This window comes from Homo sapiens, chromosome 9, assembly GCF_000001405.40.
Source record: "Homo sapiens chromosome 9, GRCh38.p14 Primary Assembly".
NCBI lineage: Eukaryota > Metazoa > Chordata > Mammalia > Primates > Hominidae > Homo > Homo sapiens.
Window position 1 is genome coordinate 78340687 of NC_000009.12, and position 18392 is coordinate 78359078.

Sequence of the window (18392 nt, forward strand, 5' to 3'; positions counted from 1 at the left end):
TCGATGAGTGCAGGAAACCAACATGGCACATGTATACCTATGTATCAAACCTGCACGTTGTGAACATGTACCCTAGAACTTAAAGTATAATAATTTAAAAAAATTGTTTTTTAAAAAAGAATACCTTAACCTGAGGAATAGGTTGGATTTTAGGTTGATGCACTGGGTTATCAACTTATGCACTCGGTTATCAACTTATTTTGAATGGTGTGTATATTACATATTTGCAGCTATCTATCTGTATCTCTATATGTTATACAGATAAAATTTCAAACTTAGAGAAAATTTGCAAGATTAGTGCAAATACCTCTTATTCTTTACTTCACCCATATTCACCAATTATTAACATTTAGCTTCACTGCCTTTGGCATTTACTCTTTTCATATATACATATTTTTTTCCTGAACTGTTTAAGGATAAGTTGAAGACATTGTGCCCTTTTATCTCTAAATAGTGTTTATTTCCTAAGAACAAGGACATTCTCCTACATAATTACAGCACAATTATCTAAATCAGAAATTTAACATTGATACATTTAACTAATCTACAGGCCATATTCAAAGTTAGCCAATTATCCCAGTAACATCTTTTGTAGCTATTTTGTGAGCTCAGTATGCAGTTCACAGTCATGCATTGCACTTACCTCTCATGTCTCTTAATCTAAATATGAACTAGTTCATCGGCTTCTTCACTCTTCATTTTATTGACGATTTTTGAAACGTATAGGCCAGGCTGGGCACAGTGGCTCACGCCTGTAATCCCAGCATCCCAGCACTTTGGGAGGCCAAGGTGGGAGGATTCCTTAAGCCCAGGAGTTTGAGACTGGCTTGGGCAACATAATGAGATCCCATCTCTCCAAAAAAAAAAAAAAAAAAAAAAAAAAAAAAAAAAAAATTAGCTGGGCTTAGGGGTGCTGTGTGCCCATAGTCCCAGCTACTCTGGAGGCTGAGGTTGGAGGATCACTTGAGCCCAGGAGGTTGGGGCTGCATATTGCTCCACTGCACTCCAGCCTGGGTGACAGAGTGAGACTCTGTCTTAAAAAAAAAAAAAAGAAAAAGAAAGAAAAGAAAAAAAGAAGAAAAGAAAAGAAAGTATAGGCAAGTTGTGGCATCTCTCAGTTCGGGTTTGTTCAAATTTAGTTCTTCATGACTGTTTCAGGTTAAGCATTTTTGGCAGGGTTACCATGGAAGTGATACTGTGTCCTCCTCAGTGCATCCTGGGAGGAGGCACCTGATGTTGGTTCGTCTTATCGGTGATATAGTCGCTGGTGTCTTGGTTCATGTGGTGTCCACGAGGTTTCTCCACTATCAAGCTATTACTTGTCTCTTTGTAGTTAATAAGTGATTATAAGGAGATGTTTTAAGACTCTAAATATCCTGAGAGTCACCAAACAAATTGCATAGACGTTCCACAAAAAGGATAATACAAGAGGAATTATTTGATGGGAAAGGTGAAGTGATTTATTACTGCTTTTCTACCAGTATTTCTTGCAACCTATTCTTCCTCCTCCCAAAAAAAAACACCTTAAAGTATAAGCAAAAGTGTGCAAAAGATACACTGGGAAGTCAAAAATCAGTAGTAGTAGGACATATATTCCAGCAACCCTGAGAGTAACAAATGCATTTGAGAATATAAATAGTCTGGGCAAGTGTGCTTTTTGGTGAACCAGGAAAGGAGGAAAAGAATTCCCTGATCAAAATATAGGGACTCAACTTGTAGAATTTTCATTCCCCGTCTGGTCAAGTTTGTTTATCTCTCAGTATTTTCAGAAGTGCAGCCCTTTGGCAACAAATACCTTTAATCGAATAGCCAGATCATGAGCCATACAGCCTGATTATACTTTGAAAGATATCATATAACAGCCTAAAGTTAAAGCTGCCTCTGATGGCTCTGGCTCAGCAGAATAGTCCCCAATAGAATAATAAAATCTTGGCTTCCATCTAGCCGGGTAAAAAGCCCAAGGCATCTTAAATGCCTGAGAAACGAGACTTGAAGTTGAAATCTAAGAATTTACAGGTCATTTGGGGGGAGAAAAAAAAAAGATTATCTTATCCAGCAGAGTGAACATCAGATAGAGCCGAATCATTCCTTTCTGCTCCCTTCCCCAAGTTTAAAAGCCTAGTTTCTTGAGGTTGAAAGTCCAGGGCTGAAGCAGAAATATATTCAGGAGTTATTGGGAAACGACAGGTGAGCAGGTTAATCTCAGGTAGCAAACATTCTGCTATAAAATACACAGGGAAACACTTTAGGATTTCAGATGCATTTAAATCTAGGGCAATGTTACACACTTTCTAAGGAAATAGGTTCAAATTAAGGCTTCAGCTGTCACCCCCTCTATTAAGCCACCCCAAATTCTCCCGGCTGCACATTATACAACAGATACAGTAGTTACTCAGCATCTTCCACGAGCAGGGTTCTTGTGGATACAGGGACAAACAAAACAATGAATGTTTTGTATCAATTAGGATTTGATGTTCACAATAAATAGAAAACTTGATCCAAACTACCAAAAGCCAAAAAAGAAGAAAAATTGTTGATTGATATAATCTGCTCTTGCAGTCAACGATCCAGTCCCACAAGAGCAAGAACTCACTCTCTAGAGAGACTGAATTAATCCCTCATGAGGGTGGATCCTTCAAGCCTCAAATGCCTCTTTTCCAGTTTGTCCCTGGATCTAAACAAACAAACAAACAAACAAACAAACCAAAAAGATCCCACCACCTCTCAACACGTTTACATTGGCAATTAAATTTCAGCATGAATTTTGCAAAGACACACGATATCTAAATCAGAACTCAGGGCCAGCCCCAGGTATGGTTCGCTCCAAAGGGCCTGCTTTTTTAGGGCTCAGTGACTTTGCCCTTCTTCATGTCTTGTTTTATTCTAATCACAGGGCACAGACATTCCTGACATTGCCTCTTCATATGAGGTTGCCCAGGTGACAAAAACGGGTATCTCAGCCTCCCCAGTGATGGTGTCAAGGCTTGTTCTGATTGGACCATCTTAGGTCAGATTCTCATTTCTAAACCAATGAGGAAGGGCTATGCTAATTGGCAGAAATAAAAATCAGGGCCCACCTTGGAGCTGGGTGTGGAGTCAAGCACACCTAAACCAAATGGAAGCCTGGGTAGTTCGCCAAATAAACTCTGCTTTCTTTTGCCCTCTTAGAGCTTACAGCCTAGCTGGAGAGCCAGACATTAACAAGTAAACAATTGGATGTAAAATATGAAGTGAAGCAACACAGAGCTGTGAGACTGTATGTCAGAGGGGCACCATCCAAACTGGGATGTGGGAGGTAACATCTGAGCTCAGATCTGAATGGTAGAGCAGGAGTTAATTTTTTTGAAAAGCGATTAAGGAGAGATGAGCAATTTGGGCATCTTTGAAAGGACATTTTTCATTTGACTTTCTCTTAAGAGAGTTGGTATGTGATACTCAAAATGTACAAGCAATATGGTACCCTCCAGAGGCTGACGTTCTTGCAAGTGGCCACAGGAAGAAGCACTCTCATATATTGTTGATGGGAATACAAAAAGGTATAACTCCGATGAAAGGCAATTTGGCAATATCTTTTTTTTAAATTTTATTATTATTATACTTTAAGTTTTAGGGTACATGTGCATAATGTGCAGGTTAGTTACATATGTATACATGTGCCATGTTGGTGTGCTGCACCCAGTAACTCGTCATTTAGCATTAGGTATATCTCCTAATGCTATCCCTCCCCCCTCCCCCCACCCCACAACAGTCCCTGATGTGTGATGTTCCCCTTCCTTTGTTCATGTGTTCTCATTATTCAATTCCCACCTATGAGTGAGAACATGCAGTGTTTGGTTTTTTGTCCTTGTGATAGTTTGCTGAGAATGATGGTTTCCAGTTTCATCCATGTCCCTACAAAGGACATGAACTCATCCTTTTTTATGGCTGCATAGTATTCCATGGTGTATATGTGCCACATTTTCTTAATCCAGTCTATCGTTGTTGGACATTTAGGTTGGTTCCAAGTCTTTGCTATTGTGAATAGTGCCACTATAAACATATGTGTGCATGTGTCTTTATAGCAGCATGATTTATAATCCTTTGGGTATATACCCAGTAATGGGATGGCTGGGTCAAATGGTATTTCTACTTCTAGATCCTTGAGGAATCACCACACTGTCTTCCACAATGGTTGAACTAGTTTACAGTCCCACCAACAGTGTAAAAGTGTTCCTATTTCTCCACATCCTCTCCAGCACCTGTTGTTTCCTGACTTTTTAATGATTGCCATTCTAACTGGTGTGAGATGGTATCTCATTGTGGTTTGGATTTGCATTTCTCTGGTGGCTAGTGATGATGAGCATTTTTTCATATGTTTTTTGGCTGCATAAATGTCTTCTTTTGAGAAGTGTCTGTTCATATCCTTTGCCCACTTTTTGATGGGGTTGTTTGTTTTTTTCTTGTAAATTTGTTGGAGTTCATTGTAGATTCTGGATATTAGCCCTTTGTCAGATGAGTAGATTGCAAAAATTTTCTCCCATTCTGTAGGTTGCCTGTTCACTCTGATGGTAGTTTCTTTTGCTGTGCAGAAGAAGCTCTTTAGTTTAATTAGATCTCATTTGTCAATTTTGGCTTTTATTGCCATTGCTTTTGGTGTTTTAGACATGAAGTCCTTGCCCATGTCTATGTCCTGAATGGTACCGCCTAGGTTTTCTTCTAGGGTTTTTATGGTTTTAGGTCTAACGTTTAAGTCTTTAATCCATCTTGAATTAATTTTTGTATAAGGTGTAAGGAAGGGATCCAGTTTCAGCTTTCTACATATGGCTAGCTAGTTTTCCCAGCACGATTTATTAAACAGAGAATCCTTTCCCCATTGCTTGTTTTTGTCAGGTTTGTCAAAGATCAGATAGTTGTAGATATGCAGCATTATTTCTGAGGGCTCTGTTCTGTTCCATTGGTCTATATCTCTGTTTTGGTACCAGTAATTTGGCAATATCTTAACAAATATATGTGTATTTAACATTTGACCTGGCAACCCCATGTCTAGGAACTTATCCTGAAGACATAATTCTAACAATATGAAAATACATATGCACAAAAAGTTATTTGACTGCACCATTATTGATACTTGCCACACATTAGAAACTACCCAAAATGCTCAAACAGAGGAAATGGTTCAACAAACTATGGTACATTCACAAAATGAAATATTAACACCTTGCAACTGTAAGATGGTCCATTCACTGGAATAGGGGACACAGGAAGAAGTGGGTATTGTGCATCATTCGCCTGTTTGATTCAGATGCACTTCCTGGCTTTCCACTGCTCTGTTCAGTGTCACAGGGGGCTGGCCCTGAAAATGTCACCTTCCAGAGCTCTTTGTCAACTCTTCCAGGTAGGTTCAGCCAATGGAAAGCATTGGCAGGAGGCTGGAGAACAGGAGCAAGAGAGAAGCCAGAGTGTTTCTTCCTCTCTGTCTACTCAGGCTGTTCCAGTAGCTGCAGCTGTGGCAGGGCTACTGGCTGCTCTGTCTCTGGAGTCCCTACCCTCACCGGGCAGCTCTGTGCTAAGGCTGTGGCCACACCATCTCCTTCATTCACCCCCAGCCATGGGGTGGCTGTGGCTTCCAGCTGTTGTGACTCTTTGGGCTGTTTTGACCTCCCGTTTGGCCTTTTGGCTTTTCCATCATCAGGTGAAATATGCTTCGTTGAATGACCTTTCGTGGGCTGTTTTTCTGACCAAACATTGACTAATGTGGGTGAGTTAAGTTTCAAGTGTCCATATGAGACATTCAAAGGGAGATATTTCACAGGAAGTCATATATAGAGGTCTAAAGCTGTGGAGAGTGGTCTTGGAGGGAGACAGATTTCAGCCAGGGGAGTCGGAGGAATCCTCCAGGAAGACAGCCAAGGAAGAGAGCAGAGGACCTGACACAGAACCCGAGAAACACCAAAAGGAAAGAGAAGCTCAGAAGAAGACCGAGAGGGCATGGTGTGAGGGAGAAAACCATTAGGAGGGTGGTGGCACAGAAACCCAGGAAAGAGCTATTTTCAAGCTAGAGGCATCATTTAAGAGGTTCAACTCTGCTTGGAGGTCACAAAAGATAAGGATTGAGACATAGTGCTTTGGATTTGTCAACAAACAAATCATCACGGGCTTCAAGGAGAGCAGTTCCTGTAGAATATTGGGGCAGAAACCAGACTGCAGTGGACTGAAGGGGAGAGGGGAGGGGAGCAACAGGAGGCAGGTGGAGAAACCCAGTGGTGGAGGGAAATACTAGAGTACTGGACAGAGGGACGCCAAGGACAGAGGAGAGGGAGGGCATTTCCTGCAGGGTAGAGCCTGTGGCTATTTCAATGTGGGCGGGAAGGAGTCGAGTCAGTAGAGAAGGAAAGTGTAGGATGTAGGAAGAGAAGATGGCCTGCTGAGCCCACGGGACACTGGGCTCATGTCTTCTCTAGGATGTCACTAAGTGGACATTCCCTTTCTCTAGTTTTCCACAGGCTCTCTGGAGGGTGCCCCTTGACTCCTTGGGTCGGCAGCCCTTGATTCATTTGCCTTTCTTTCTCTTCTCTTTCAGTACATCGAAGTCATATGCTATGGGAAGGTTAGATTCTTTTGCAGAAAAATTAATTAGTATTATTATATTTTTTCAGAAACGGGGTTTTGCTATATTGTTCAAGCTGGTCTTGAGCTTGTGAGCTCAAGAGACCCTCTTGCTTTGGCTTCCCGAGTAGCTGGGACTATAGGCACGTGCCACAGTGCCCAGTGATAAATTTTTTTTAATTGACAAATAATAATTGTACATATTCATGGGGTACATGGTGATATTTTGGTACATATGATGTCCAGTGATCAGATCAGGGTAATTAGCATATCCATCATCTCAAACATTTATCATTTCTTTGTGCTGGGACCGTTCAATATTCTTCTGGCTATTTGAAACTATATATCATCCTTAACTATAGTCATCCTACACTAGTATTGAACATTAGGACTTATGCTTCCTGTCTAGCTGTAATTTTGTAGCCTTTAACAAATCTCTCCTTATCCTTCCCTTCCCACTATGGGAAGGTTAGGCTCTTGAATCAGTACATCAGACCAAAAAAATTCCATTGATAATGGTTAATTATTTTTGAAAAATTCCCTAGGCCTATACCATTTGGGAGACCTACATGATTGTTTCTCAAAGAGCCGAAGTAGTCCATTTTTCTCCTCTCATTAGGAGAGATTGCTGTTTCTTTGAGAACCAGATGAAGGGGTCGCTTGCCCTTAGGAATATTTTTGCTTGTGTAGAGCAGGCAAAACTCTACCTGTATACTCTTAGGGTCATGGCTGGGCTTGAGAACTAAATTGACATAAGACAGAAGAACAGGAGAAAAGCATTTCAGTTTTATGTGACATGGGAGCCCTTACAAAGAAATGAGGCCCCAAAGAAGTGGCAAAACCAACATGCTTTTATATTAGGTTGAACAAAGAGAGGCAGTTATAGAAAAGTAACTAAATTATATGGGGAGGCCAAAAGAAGATAAGAATTATTTGAACAAGGTCTGTGCGTACAGAAATCTCCTGGCCATGGCTCCCCATCGAAGAATGTTTCTTTTCCCGTGGCACATCTTTCACGCTTGAGTTTTTATCTTCTGTTTTTAGGAAGAAATGGGAAGATTAGGATGTTCTTCTTGCATCTGCTATTTTTAAAGTACCTTTTGCTCAAAATAATTCTTATACCAGTGTGGTATATTTTGGGATGCATATTCTGTCAACCTTCACTTGAAAAATGCAAAAAGCAAGATGCTTCTGGAATGAGAGGCTCCCGAGGACCGGGACTTCTTGAGAGAACAGCAGATTGACACTCCCCATTTCCCTCTGACTCTATGCTCTGAACTCATTGAGCAGATTGGTGAGTGAAATCATGGACATGGTTTCAATGATCATTTTCTCTCTTTTTAATTCAGAACAAATTTAATTGAGTTTATATAAGATATATAAATTAAATATCCATATTATGGGGCTTGTCTGTATCCTCATGATCGCCCTTCTCTTGTTCTTTTCCTACGTCCACCTCCTCTGGGCCTTCAGAACTCAACCCCATGTCATCAGTCCACCCAGCTGCTCCACGGAACGTGTCTTCCTCCTTCTCATCTGGTTGTTGGTGACAACCTTTTTTTCTCCCTGACTTGTGGTGGTCTCATCCCTCCCTGGTGGCTGTAAGCCCAGGGAGATGGACTTTGAGCAAGTGGCTGTCAACTCCATGGATAGGTGGAAGTGATGAGGACACCCAAGTGAGCCAACCCTGAGTCATTTATACTGATGGGCATCATGGAGGATGGAAAAATTAACAGCCACACAGAGCCTCAGAGGTGTAGAGACACATATGCTGGGATCCACATGTTACACACCCAACCTTGCCCTTTGCGGTTCTCTGTTTTGATTCCAGTCAGCTTTCTGTCCTTTCATTTCTTAGGAAGGTCAGTACCAGCCCAGGGATAGTCCCCTGATTCTTCCTACTGCCAAGCCCTAGTTAAACTTCATATCCACTTCCTTGGGTTGCCCTGTCAATCAGTTTAACATGGGGAGTGACTTCCTGCCCTAGGCTACCTTTCTGGCATCCTTCTTTATTGATGATCTTAATGCTGTGTTTTCTTCCAAATATGTACAACTCATATAATGCATGTGTGATCAAAATTATACAAAGAACTAAACATATACTTCCCATTATATTCTAGAGGCACCAGTTGGTGTTAAATTAGCTTGTTTCTTCACTGCTCTTATTCTTTGGACTCTTTTTTCATCCAAGTCTGTTTTTCTTCAGATGATTGTCTGAAGAAAATTTATATATATTTATATAATATACATAATTACTATAAATATATAAAAGTATATATTTATATAAATATAGAAAAATTTTTTGAGTTTGGTTAGATCATTATATTTTACCCTCAATTTCAATTTACCATTACTCTCTAATAATCATTGAAGTGCTATTTTTGATATGTTCATACAGGGATTCACAATAACAAAAATGCTTTTGAAAAATAGTCTGTTTGCAGAGGAGCTCATACAGCATATTCACATACAAGAGTGAATTCTTTTTGTTTGTTTGTTTGTTTTTGAGACAGAGTCTCACTCTGTCACCCAGGCTGGAGTGCAGTGGCGCGATCTTGGCTCACTGCAACCTCCGCCTCCCGGGTAGCTGGGACTACAGGTGCCCGCCACCACGCTGGGCTAATTTTTTGTATTTTTAGTAGAGACAGAGTTTCACCGTGTTAGTCAGGATGGTCTTGATCTCCTGACCTCATGATCCGCCTGCCTCAGCCTCCCAAAGTGCTGGGATTACAGGCGTGAGCCACCGCGCCCGGCCACAAGAGTGAATTCTTAATTCTTTCCCAAAACCTAGCTGATCCTGGCTGGAATTGCTTCTGCATCTGTGGGGTAAGCTAGGGGTTGGCTGTCAGCGCAGCTCATGGGGCTGATGAGCCACATGTCTCTCATCATCCAGCAGGTCGCAGGGGCTTGTGCTTGTGGCTGCAGCAGGGCTCCAGGTGGGAGAGTAGCAGATGCAAGTCTTCCAAAGGCCTAGGCTCCCAAGTGGCCCACCATCATTTCTGCTACATTCTTTTTTTTTTTCTTTCTTTTTTGAGACAGGATCTCGCTGTCACCCAGGCTAGAGTGAAATGGTGTGATCTCAGCTCACTGTAGCCTCGACCTCCCCGGCTCAAACGATCCTTCCACCTCAGCATCCCAAGTAGCTGGGACTATAGGTGCGTGCCACCATGCCCTGCTATTTTTTTGTTGTTGTTGTATTTTTTCTAGATATGGGGTTTTGTCATGCTGCCCAGGCTGGTCTTGACCTCTTGGGCTCAAGCCAGCTGCCCGCCTCAGCCTCCCAAAATGCTGGGACTACAGGTGTAAGCCACTGCACCTGGCCATTTCTGTTGCATTCTATTGGCCAAAGCAAGTCAGAGTCAACCCAGATTCACAGGATGGGGAAACAGACTCCACCTCTTGATGGGAGAAGCTGTAAAGTCACATTGCTAAGGGGGAGGATATAAGGAGGAGACTAGTTGGAACCATTTTTGCAATTTTGGAAGATAACTGCTATCTTATTCAAGGAGGTTACACAACCTCTCACTTTTCAAACATCCCAGATTTCTATAAATCTCCATCTCTGGCTTGGTGGCCCCTAAGAATTCTCAATCCATTTTGGTGAGGGGACATTTAGTGATGAGTGTTGTCTTGCTACATGAGTAGTTCTATTATTGGCATTCCCTTGCTACTCATCCATTATTTATAATGCTTTCCTGTATGTATGTGCAATTATATTTCTGTGTATATTTTGAGAAATAAATTGCACTGGTCCCTTTTCTTTCTCACCCCCTAGAGATGTTATAGAGACAGTAAAAGTGTCCAAATTTGTGAGAAATTGGAATAATCAAGCATTACCTGGATGGAATGCTATTAATGATAGCGATTCACGCTAGAGTCCCTTTCATCTGAGACACTCAGGATCTGTTAAGAGATTAAAAGTACTAAAAGACACCGATCTAGAGAATTTTCATTATCTTGTGCTCTGAAAACTCAGAAGTTCATTGGTTTGAATGGGCCCGAAAATACATTTTTATTACTAGGGGCATAGAAGCCTCTAGCAGCATTCTTAATAAAGCAAGGTGAGTTATAAGCAATCCTTGGATGAAGGGTAAATGTACCACACTCCATTTTAAGAAAAATACAATATAAAAGCCTTAGCATGGAAGAAAATCTTTATATGATCTTTTAAGAAAACTCAAGAAAAATAGAGACATGACACAATATTAAATTTAAAGCCAGGGACTTAGAAGCAAAGAAAAGCAAAGACAGTCTGATTAAGGTTGTTGCATTGTTCTGGCATTTTTTATGTCTCTGCCGTTTCTCTGGCCTTTTTAGATCATAAGCTTTTAGGGCACATGGAACAACTCCATCTTGATATAGTACTGAGCAAACGCACCAAGAGGTTCTCAATAAATGGGCATTAAATCCTAAGTCCAGAAGGGACCTTGAGATGCCCTCTGTTCACTCCCTACTACACCTGGTGGTACTGTGTTTTAAGCAACCCAGAAAAACAGATTCCTTTTTCTTTAAGTCTCCAAATTCAGAGACTCCACAATATGAATTCATTTCTCACCTTTGCCTTGTGCTCTTTTTTAATGTCAGTTTTTTTATTGTGGTAAAAAACACATAACAAACTTTACCATCGTAACTATTTTTAAGTGTCTAGAATGGTAGGGTTAACTATACACACAGTGCTGTACTACAGATCTCTAGAACTTTTTCATCTTGCTAAACTGAAACTCTACGCCCATTGAACAACCACCATCCTTCTTCCTTCCCTCCCAACCCCTGACAACCACCACCTTACTTCCTGTTTCTAAGAGTTTGACTGTGTTAGGTACTTCATATGCAGTATTTGTTTTTTTATGATCTGCTTATTTCACTTAGCAAAATGTCCTCAAGATTCATCCATGTTGTTGCATGTGATAGAATTTTCTTCCTTTTAAAGGCAAAATAATATTCCATTGTATGTATAGACCCCATTTTGTTTATCCATTCATCCATCAATAATATTTGGGTTGCTTCCACATCTTGGCTATTATGAATAATGCTGCTGTGAACATGGGTGTACCATGTCTCTTCAAAACCCTGTTTTTAACTGTTTTGGATATATTCCAGAAGTGGGATTTTTGGATCATATAGTAATTCTATTTTTAATTTTCCTAGGAATGTTCATACTGTTTTCTATATCAATTGCACCATTTTACATTCCCACTAATAGTTCACAAGGGTTCCAGTTTTTGTGCATCCTCTCCAACACCTGTTGTTTTCTGTTTCTTTTTTTTTTTTTGTAGTGGTTTTACTAATTGGTGTAAAGTTATATCTCATTGTGGTTTACCTTTGCATTTCCTGGATTGTTAGGGATATTTAGCATTTTTTCATATGCTTGCTGTTCATTTGTATATTTTATTTGGAAAAATATCTATGTAAGTTGTTTGTTCATTGTTAAATTGTTTTTTTTTTTTAATTTTTATTTTTGAGACAGAGTTTCATTCTTGTTGCTCAGGCTGGAGTGCAGTGGCATGATCTTAGCTCACTGCAACCTCCACCTCCCAGGTTCAAGCAATTCTCCTGCCTCAGCCTCCCGAGTAGCTGGGATTACAGGCATGTGCCACCACATGCCCACCTAAGTTTTCTATTTTCAGTAGAGATGGGGTTTCACCATGTTGGCCAGGCTAGTCTCGAACTCCTGACCTCAGGTGATCCACCTGCCTCGGCCTCCCAAAGTGTTGAGATTACAGGCGTGAACCACCACACCCAGCCAGGTTATTTTTGTTGTTGTTGCTCAGTTATAGTTTAAATAATCTGGATATTAATTCAGTTATTTACCATATTATATGGTCTGCAAATATTTCTTACCATTTTGTACTGCCTTTTTGCTGTTTATTTTGATGGGCAGAAATGTTAAAGTTTATGTAATCACATTTATCTATTTTGTTTTTGTTGCCTGTGCTTTTGGTGTTGTATACAAAAAATTATGCCAAACCAAATCCAATGTCATGAATCCTTTCCCCTATGTTTTCTTCTAGAAGTTTTATAGTTTCACATCTTATACTTAGGACTTTAATTTTTTTTTTTTGAGACGGAATCTCACTCTGTCGCCCAGGCTGGAGGGCAGTGGCACAATCTCAGCTCACTACAACCTCTGCCTCCCAGGGTTCAAGCGATTCTCCTGCCTCATCCACCTGAGCAGCTGGGATTACAGGAACCCGCCACCATGCCTGGCTAATTTTTGTATTTTTAGTAGAGACACGGTTTCACCATATTTGCCAGGCTGGTCTCGAACTCCTGACCTTGTGATCTGCCCGCCTCGACCTCCCAAAGTGCTGGGATTACAGGCGTGAGGCACTGCTCCTGGCCAGGACTTTAATTTTCAGTTAATTTTTGCATATGGTATAATATAAGGGTCCAATTTCATTCTTTTGCATGGGAATATTCCATTTTTACAACACCATTTGTTGAAGAGACTATCCTTTCTGTGTTTTGTAGTTTGGCACCATTGTGGAAGATCATTTGACCATATATGTGAGGGCTTATTTTTGGATTCTTTATTCTGTTCCATTGGTCTATGTGTTTGTCCTTATTCCAGTACCATACTATTTTGATTACCATAGATTTGTAATATGTTTTGAAATCATGAAATGTCTGGCCTCTAGGTTGTTTTTCTTTCTCAAGATTGTTTTGGTTATTCAGGGTTCTTTGGGATTTCATATGAATTTTAAAAATATTCCCCCTATTTCTGCCAAAAAAAAAATGCCATTGAGGTTTTCTTAGGAGTTGTGTTAGATCTACAGGTTGCTTTGGGTAATATGGATATTTTAACAATATTAAGTCTTTCAATCCGTGAACATGGGATGTTTTCCACTTATTTGTGTCTTCTTTAATTTCACTCAGCTTTGTTTTGTAGTTTTTAGAATACAAGTGTTTTGTCTCCTTGGTTAATCCTAGGTATTTTGTTCTTTTTGATGTAATTATAGATGGCTTTATTTTCTTAATTTCCTTTTTCAGATTGTTCATTGTTAGTGTATAGAAATGCAACTGATTTTTGTGTGTTGATTTTGCATTCTGACCCCAGGAGTAGAAAATGTCTGCAATGTGAATACTATAATCCATTTGCTTCATGAGCATTGGCCTGTACCACAAAGTCAAGGTAAGCAGAAGAGCTCTGTAGGCCTTGACTCCAGCTCCAGGCTGCTAGAATTAGAGGTAGATGATCTGGGTTTAAAAACTGATTCTCCCAGTTGCTAGCTGTGTGATCTTGGGTAAGTTATTTAACCTCTCTGTGCCTCTCTCTCCATCAGCAGCATGGGCATAATAATAGACCTTCCCCCAGGAGGCTGGATTATTGGAATTAAATGAGATAATAGATACATGCCTGTAGCAGCACCAGAACAAAGTAAGCATGCAGTGTATGTCATCTCAGCTCTTATTTTTATTAGGAGACAGGTATTGTTAGAAGATACAGTGTAAACAGGACTAAATATACTCTAAAACAAAAGCTCCTACAAAAATGTCAGTCTCCTTTCTTCCTGAAGCTTGCACAAACAGGAAGGGAATGGCTAGAGTAAATAACCCCACACTAGGGACCTCTTGCCTCCAGCAAACAGGGTCTAAGAATTACTACAAGGGCAGGTATGTCAGTCCCTGTCACCCTAGGCTTCCCTTTGATTTCTCTCCCTTATCCTCTGTGGGTGGATTTCCCTTTTATTGCAGGAAGAGAGAAGGAACTTGCATTAAAACTAAATCTATGCTTACTTGGAAACTTCATGACTTTTTAAGTTGAAAAAATTCCTGACCAAGAGAAAGGAGCCAATTCAGGATAGGCTTTAATTGGCTATTAGAGCACTTACTGGGTGGTGGAAATCACTCGGCCTTTGGCTTCAGGCCGTGTGGGGCACCCATGGCAGGCATTAATAGCCCATTAACGCACACCCTGTCACTGCTTTATTTCCTAATTAATACTGCCTGCTTTAGGGATAGCAGAACACAGCTATAAAATTGTTTTATCTATTGCTTCAGCAATGAGGGAGAAAAAAATGTTATTAGCATCTCATGCCTGTCACACATTTGTGGCTGGACTAGAAAATCAGAAGGATCAGTATGGGATTTATTTTCTGAATCTTCACCCCAGAGTGGAGAAAGGTCAATCCCAAACCAAACCCCAAGGAGGCTTGAATTTTGATGGTATTGTCAGCTCTTGGGTTTCCTTTAGCATCTTAGAAATTTGTGAAGCAGAAAGAAATGATCAAAGGCAGGGCAGATTAGCCTCATTCTCCTTTCAGGCTTGAGGAGAGAGAGAAGGGGAGGACTGCCGCGTACAACTGGGCAGGTTGTGCACTGTGCAAGGGCCGGGGGCGGCGGGGGGTGCCTCTAAGACAGCCCAATTTATACCATAGATATAGAATGTTTACGTATCTTGCCAGGTGTGGTGGTTCATGCCTGTAATCCCAGCACTTTGGGAGGCCAAGGCAGGTGGATTGCTTGAGCTCAGGAGTTTGAGACCAGCCTGGGCAACATGAAGAAAACCTGTCTCTTCAAAAAATACAAAAATTAGCCGGGCATGGTGGTGTGTGCCTGTGGTCCCAACTACTCTGGAGGCTGAGGTGGGAGGATCGCTTGAACCTGGGATGCAGAGGTTGCAGTGAGTGGAGATCATGCCACTGCACTCCAGCCTGGGTGACAGAACAAGATCCTGTCTCAAGAAAACAACAAGGAATGTTTACACATCTTATAACTTTCTGACGGATGGAAATAAATGTCTTAAAGTAGTATTTTTTCTTCTGTTTCTCTTATACTGTAGAAGAGTGTTTCTCAACAGGAGTTATTTTGTCCCCTAGGGGATATTTGGCCATGTCTAGAGACATTTTTGGTGTCACAAGTAGGCAATGTGCTTCTTGCATCTAGTTGGTAGAGGCTGAGGATGCTATGAAGCATCCTACAGTGTTCATGGCAACCTCCCACGACAAAGAATTACCCAGCGCACAATGACACTAGTGCTGAGGTGGAGAAGCTCTGGTCCAGAGGATAAAGGCAAGGTTCTCTGTGTCTCAGTCTGACATCTCTTCTCTGCTTGTCCTGGATAAATGACTGCTGGAGAGGATGTGAACCATTTCTGACATTATGCCCTAGCAGCCCATGGCGCACCCTAGGTGCCTGCAGGGGCCAACACGCTCAGAGGAACATAAGGCCACCTGACAGCAGGCCCATGTCCCTGGCAGGGCGGAGGATCAGGGTGGCAGCCATCCTGGGAAAAGCCTTCCTGTCCTGGGGACCTCAGTTCATCAGGCTCAGGTGTCTCTTCTTTTCATCCTGTGGCCTCTGAGATGAACCGGCTTTCCTTGTCTTTCCAAACCTTCCCAACTTGTGATTCCTTGACTCTGAAGAGCGGGACAGAGTATCCTCAGATTTGCCTTCCACATTGCCTCCAAGACCCGTTTTGGAAGGTTTTGTGGATGATCAATTGGGGGATGGGGCAGTAATTTTGAGACACAACAGAGAATTCTCCAGCTGGTGACTGGGTTTCAATCCCAGCTTTTCCACTTGCCAGATGCATGGCCCGTTCACTGAACCTCTCTGTGCCTCAGTTTTCTCATCTGTAAAATGGGGTTGATTACAATAGTGCCCATGTCATAGGGTTTTGGTGAGGATTGAGTTAATACATGTGATGTATCCGGAGCAGCTTTTGGCATGTAGTAAACACCACATAGGTGTTAGCTAATCTAGGCTTCCTTTCACATTCATATTTTGGGTACTCTTGATGGCAGTGGCAAGCCATCCAAAGCGGCCACTACCATCACGTTGGCTGCAGCAGGGAGGCACAGGCAGTGACGGCAAGAGTGGCTGTGGGAGCAGCGTGGTCGAGCGTGGAGGGGTGGGCAGAGAGGGGCCCCGAGGTGGAGCTGGGCCCAGAACAGTGCTGCACTCCACCGAGCCCGTAGGAGCCAGGAGCAGGCAGGAGCCCCACCCTCCCAGGTGCAGCTGCAGCCACCCAAGTCGCGGCTGTGGACCCAGGCATCTCTGCACTCTCGAAGGTCTGGAAAGGGCCCCCGTTTCCCCCAACAGGCTCGGAGTTGTCTGCTCCCCGTGCCTGGCCCCTCCCCACTCCTGCTGCCTGCTCCAATCTCAGAGCAAGGCTGGGCCCAAGACTGGGCACTGTTGCAGCCTGACCGGGTGTGCACAGTATTGGGGCAGCGCTGACACGCCAGCCCCCTGCCATCTTGGCCCCCTCCATGGGCAGACTTTGGGCACCAACTAGCATGGGAGGAAGGCCTAGCAAGGGCTGAGGGCAGTTTGGTGTGGGCCTGTAGGCCCCCCTTGGCACGAACAGCCTGGGCGCCATGAACGGTGGCGGGAGGCAAATGGCTCCTGAGTGGAACGGGGCGGGTCCCCAGGGAAGTCCCACCTTTAGGCTGGGGAGTGCCTGAAGCCTGGAGGCCTGGCTGCTGGTCCCGCGGGAACTTGTGGTGCTTTCCCCAGGCACGCCCATGGCCTCCCATGGACCAATCAGCACACACTTCCTCCCCTCTGAGGCCCATGAAAAGCCCCAGACGCAGTCAGACCAGAAGAGACGTTGGGCCAACCAGCTGCGGAGGGAAGGTATCTACCCCAGGGTCTTCTCTCTGTTGAGTGCTGAAGAGATGACGGGATGACCTGCCTGCAGAGAGGAGCTACCGTCTCTGCTGAGAGCTGAATACTTGTCTGGACACCCTGGCTACAGAGAAGAACTACCCACTGCAGGTCTCCTCTGAGCTGCTCTATCATTCAATAAAGCTCCTCTTCGTCTTGCTCATCCTCACTTGTCTTTCTGAGGAGAATACCTCATTCTTCCTGGATGCAGGACAAGAACTTGGGACCCGCCGAAAGGCAGGGATGCAAGAGCTGTAACACAAACAAGGCTGAAATACACCCCTTGTTCACCACATTGAGGGTGACAAGGAGAGAAGAGAGAACGAGAGAAGAGCTGCGGCTTTTCGAGGAGCCCAGACCCAGGAGCTTCTTGAGCCAGGGATGTGACACTCTCTTTAAGGCTCTGCGGTTCCTGGAGTCTTCAAGCTTCTGGGTGCCACCATGTTCCCTGGTGTCAGCTGGGAACTGCTTGTGGTACGCCTGGTCCGGCCGCAGCTTCGCAGGGAGCTGGCGCTTGTGCCAGTGCCTGGAGCTGCCCGCCCTGCTGCAGCCGGTATGCCTGGCTGTGCACAGTGGCCCAGACCCCAAGCATGCTCACACACCCCTCGCCACTTTGCGTTCGGCTCACCTTTGGCAGGCATGGGATCCAGGCCAGTAGCGTGAGCTGAGTGCGCCTGCCAGGCTGAGTGGGCGGAACAAGCCCAGCAGGTCAGAGCAAAACTAGGGCAAAGGCACCACTGGCCACAGAGGTTACCAGCTGGCAAAGCGACACGGTAAGGATCCCATAACAATGTTTTCAGTTAGCTGTGACTGCCATAACAAAATATGGCAGAGCCCAGCAACCAGAGAGCTTAAACAACAGAAATTTATTTTCTCATGGTCTGGGTCTGGAAGTCCAAGATTAAGGTGCTAGCAGGTTTGCTTTCTTCTGAGGCCCCCCTTCTTGGCTTGCAGATGCCACCTTCTCACTGTGTGGACATCGTTGTCCCTCTGTGTGTGCCTGTGTCTGGTGTCTCTTGGTGTTTCCAAATTTCCTCTTCTTAGAAGGACACCAGTCAAACTGGATTAGGGCCCACCCTAGTGGGCTTGTTTTAACTTAATTACCTCTTTGAAGAAACCCCATCTCTACAAAAAATACAGAAATAGCCAGGCGTGGTGGCACATGCCTGTAGTCCCAGCTACTTGGGAGGCTTGAATCC

At 43.2% G+C, this 18392-nt stretch overlaps 1 long non-coding RNA gene across 2 annotated transcripts in view, besides 2 other annotated features; it reads left to right on the forward strand.

The window, feature by feature from the left end:
* Positions 9587-10086: an enhancer, noted in NCBI's record as "H3K27ac hESC enhancer chr9:80965189-80965688 (GRCh37/hg19 assembly coordinates)". NCBI's record gives its function as "activates a minimal SCP1, AML or CMV promoter by ChIP-STARR-seq in primed H9 embryonic stem cells {active_cell/tissue: H9 hESC(primed)}" and the evidence as "EXISTENCE:reporter gene assay evidence [ECO:0000049][PMID:30033119]".
* LOC107987083 (uncharacterized) overlaps positions 16919-18392 on the forward strand; it is a 122361-nt gene continuing 120887 nt past the window's right edge. For both annotated transcript variants that reach the window (XR_001746759.2, XR_001746760.2), the window contains exon 1: positions 16919-17966. This is a non-coding gene — a long non-coding RNA (uncharacterized LOC107987083). The remainder of the gene's footprint in view (positions 17967-18392) is intronic.
* Positions 16932-16981: an enhancer, noted in NCBI's record as "active region_28488". NCBI's record gives its function as "activates an Ori minimal core promoter by ATAC-STARR-seq in GM12878 lymphoblastoid cells {active_cell/tissue: GM12878}" and the evidence as "EXISTENCE:reporter gene assay evidence [ECO:0000049][PMID:35858748]".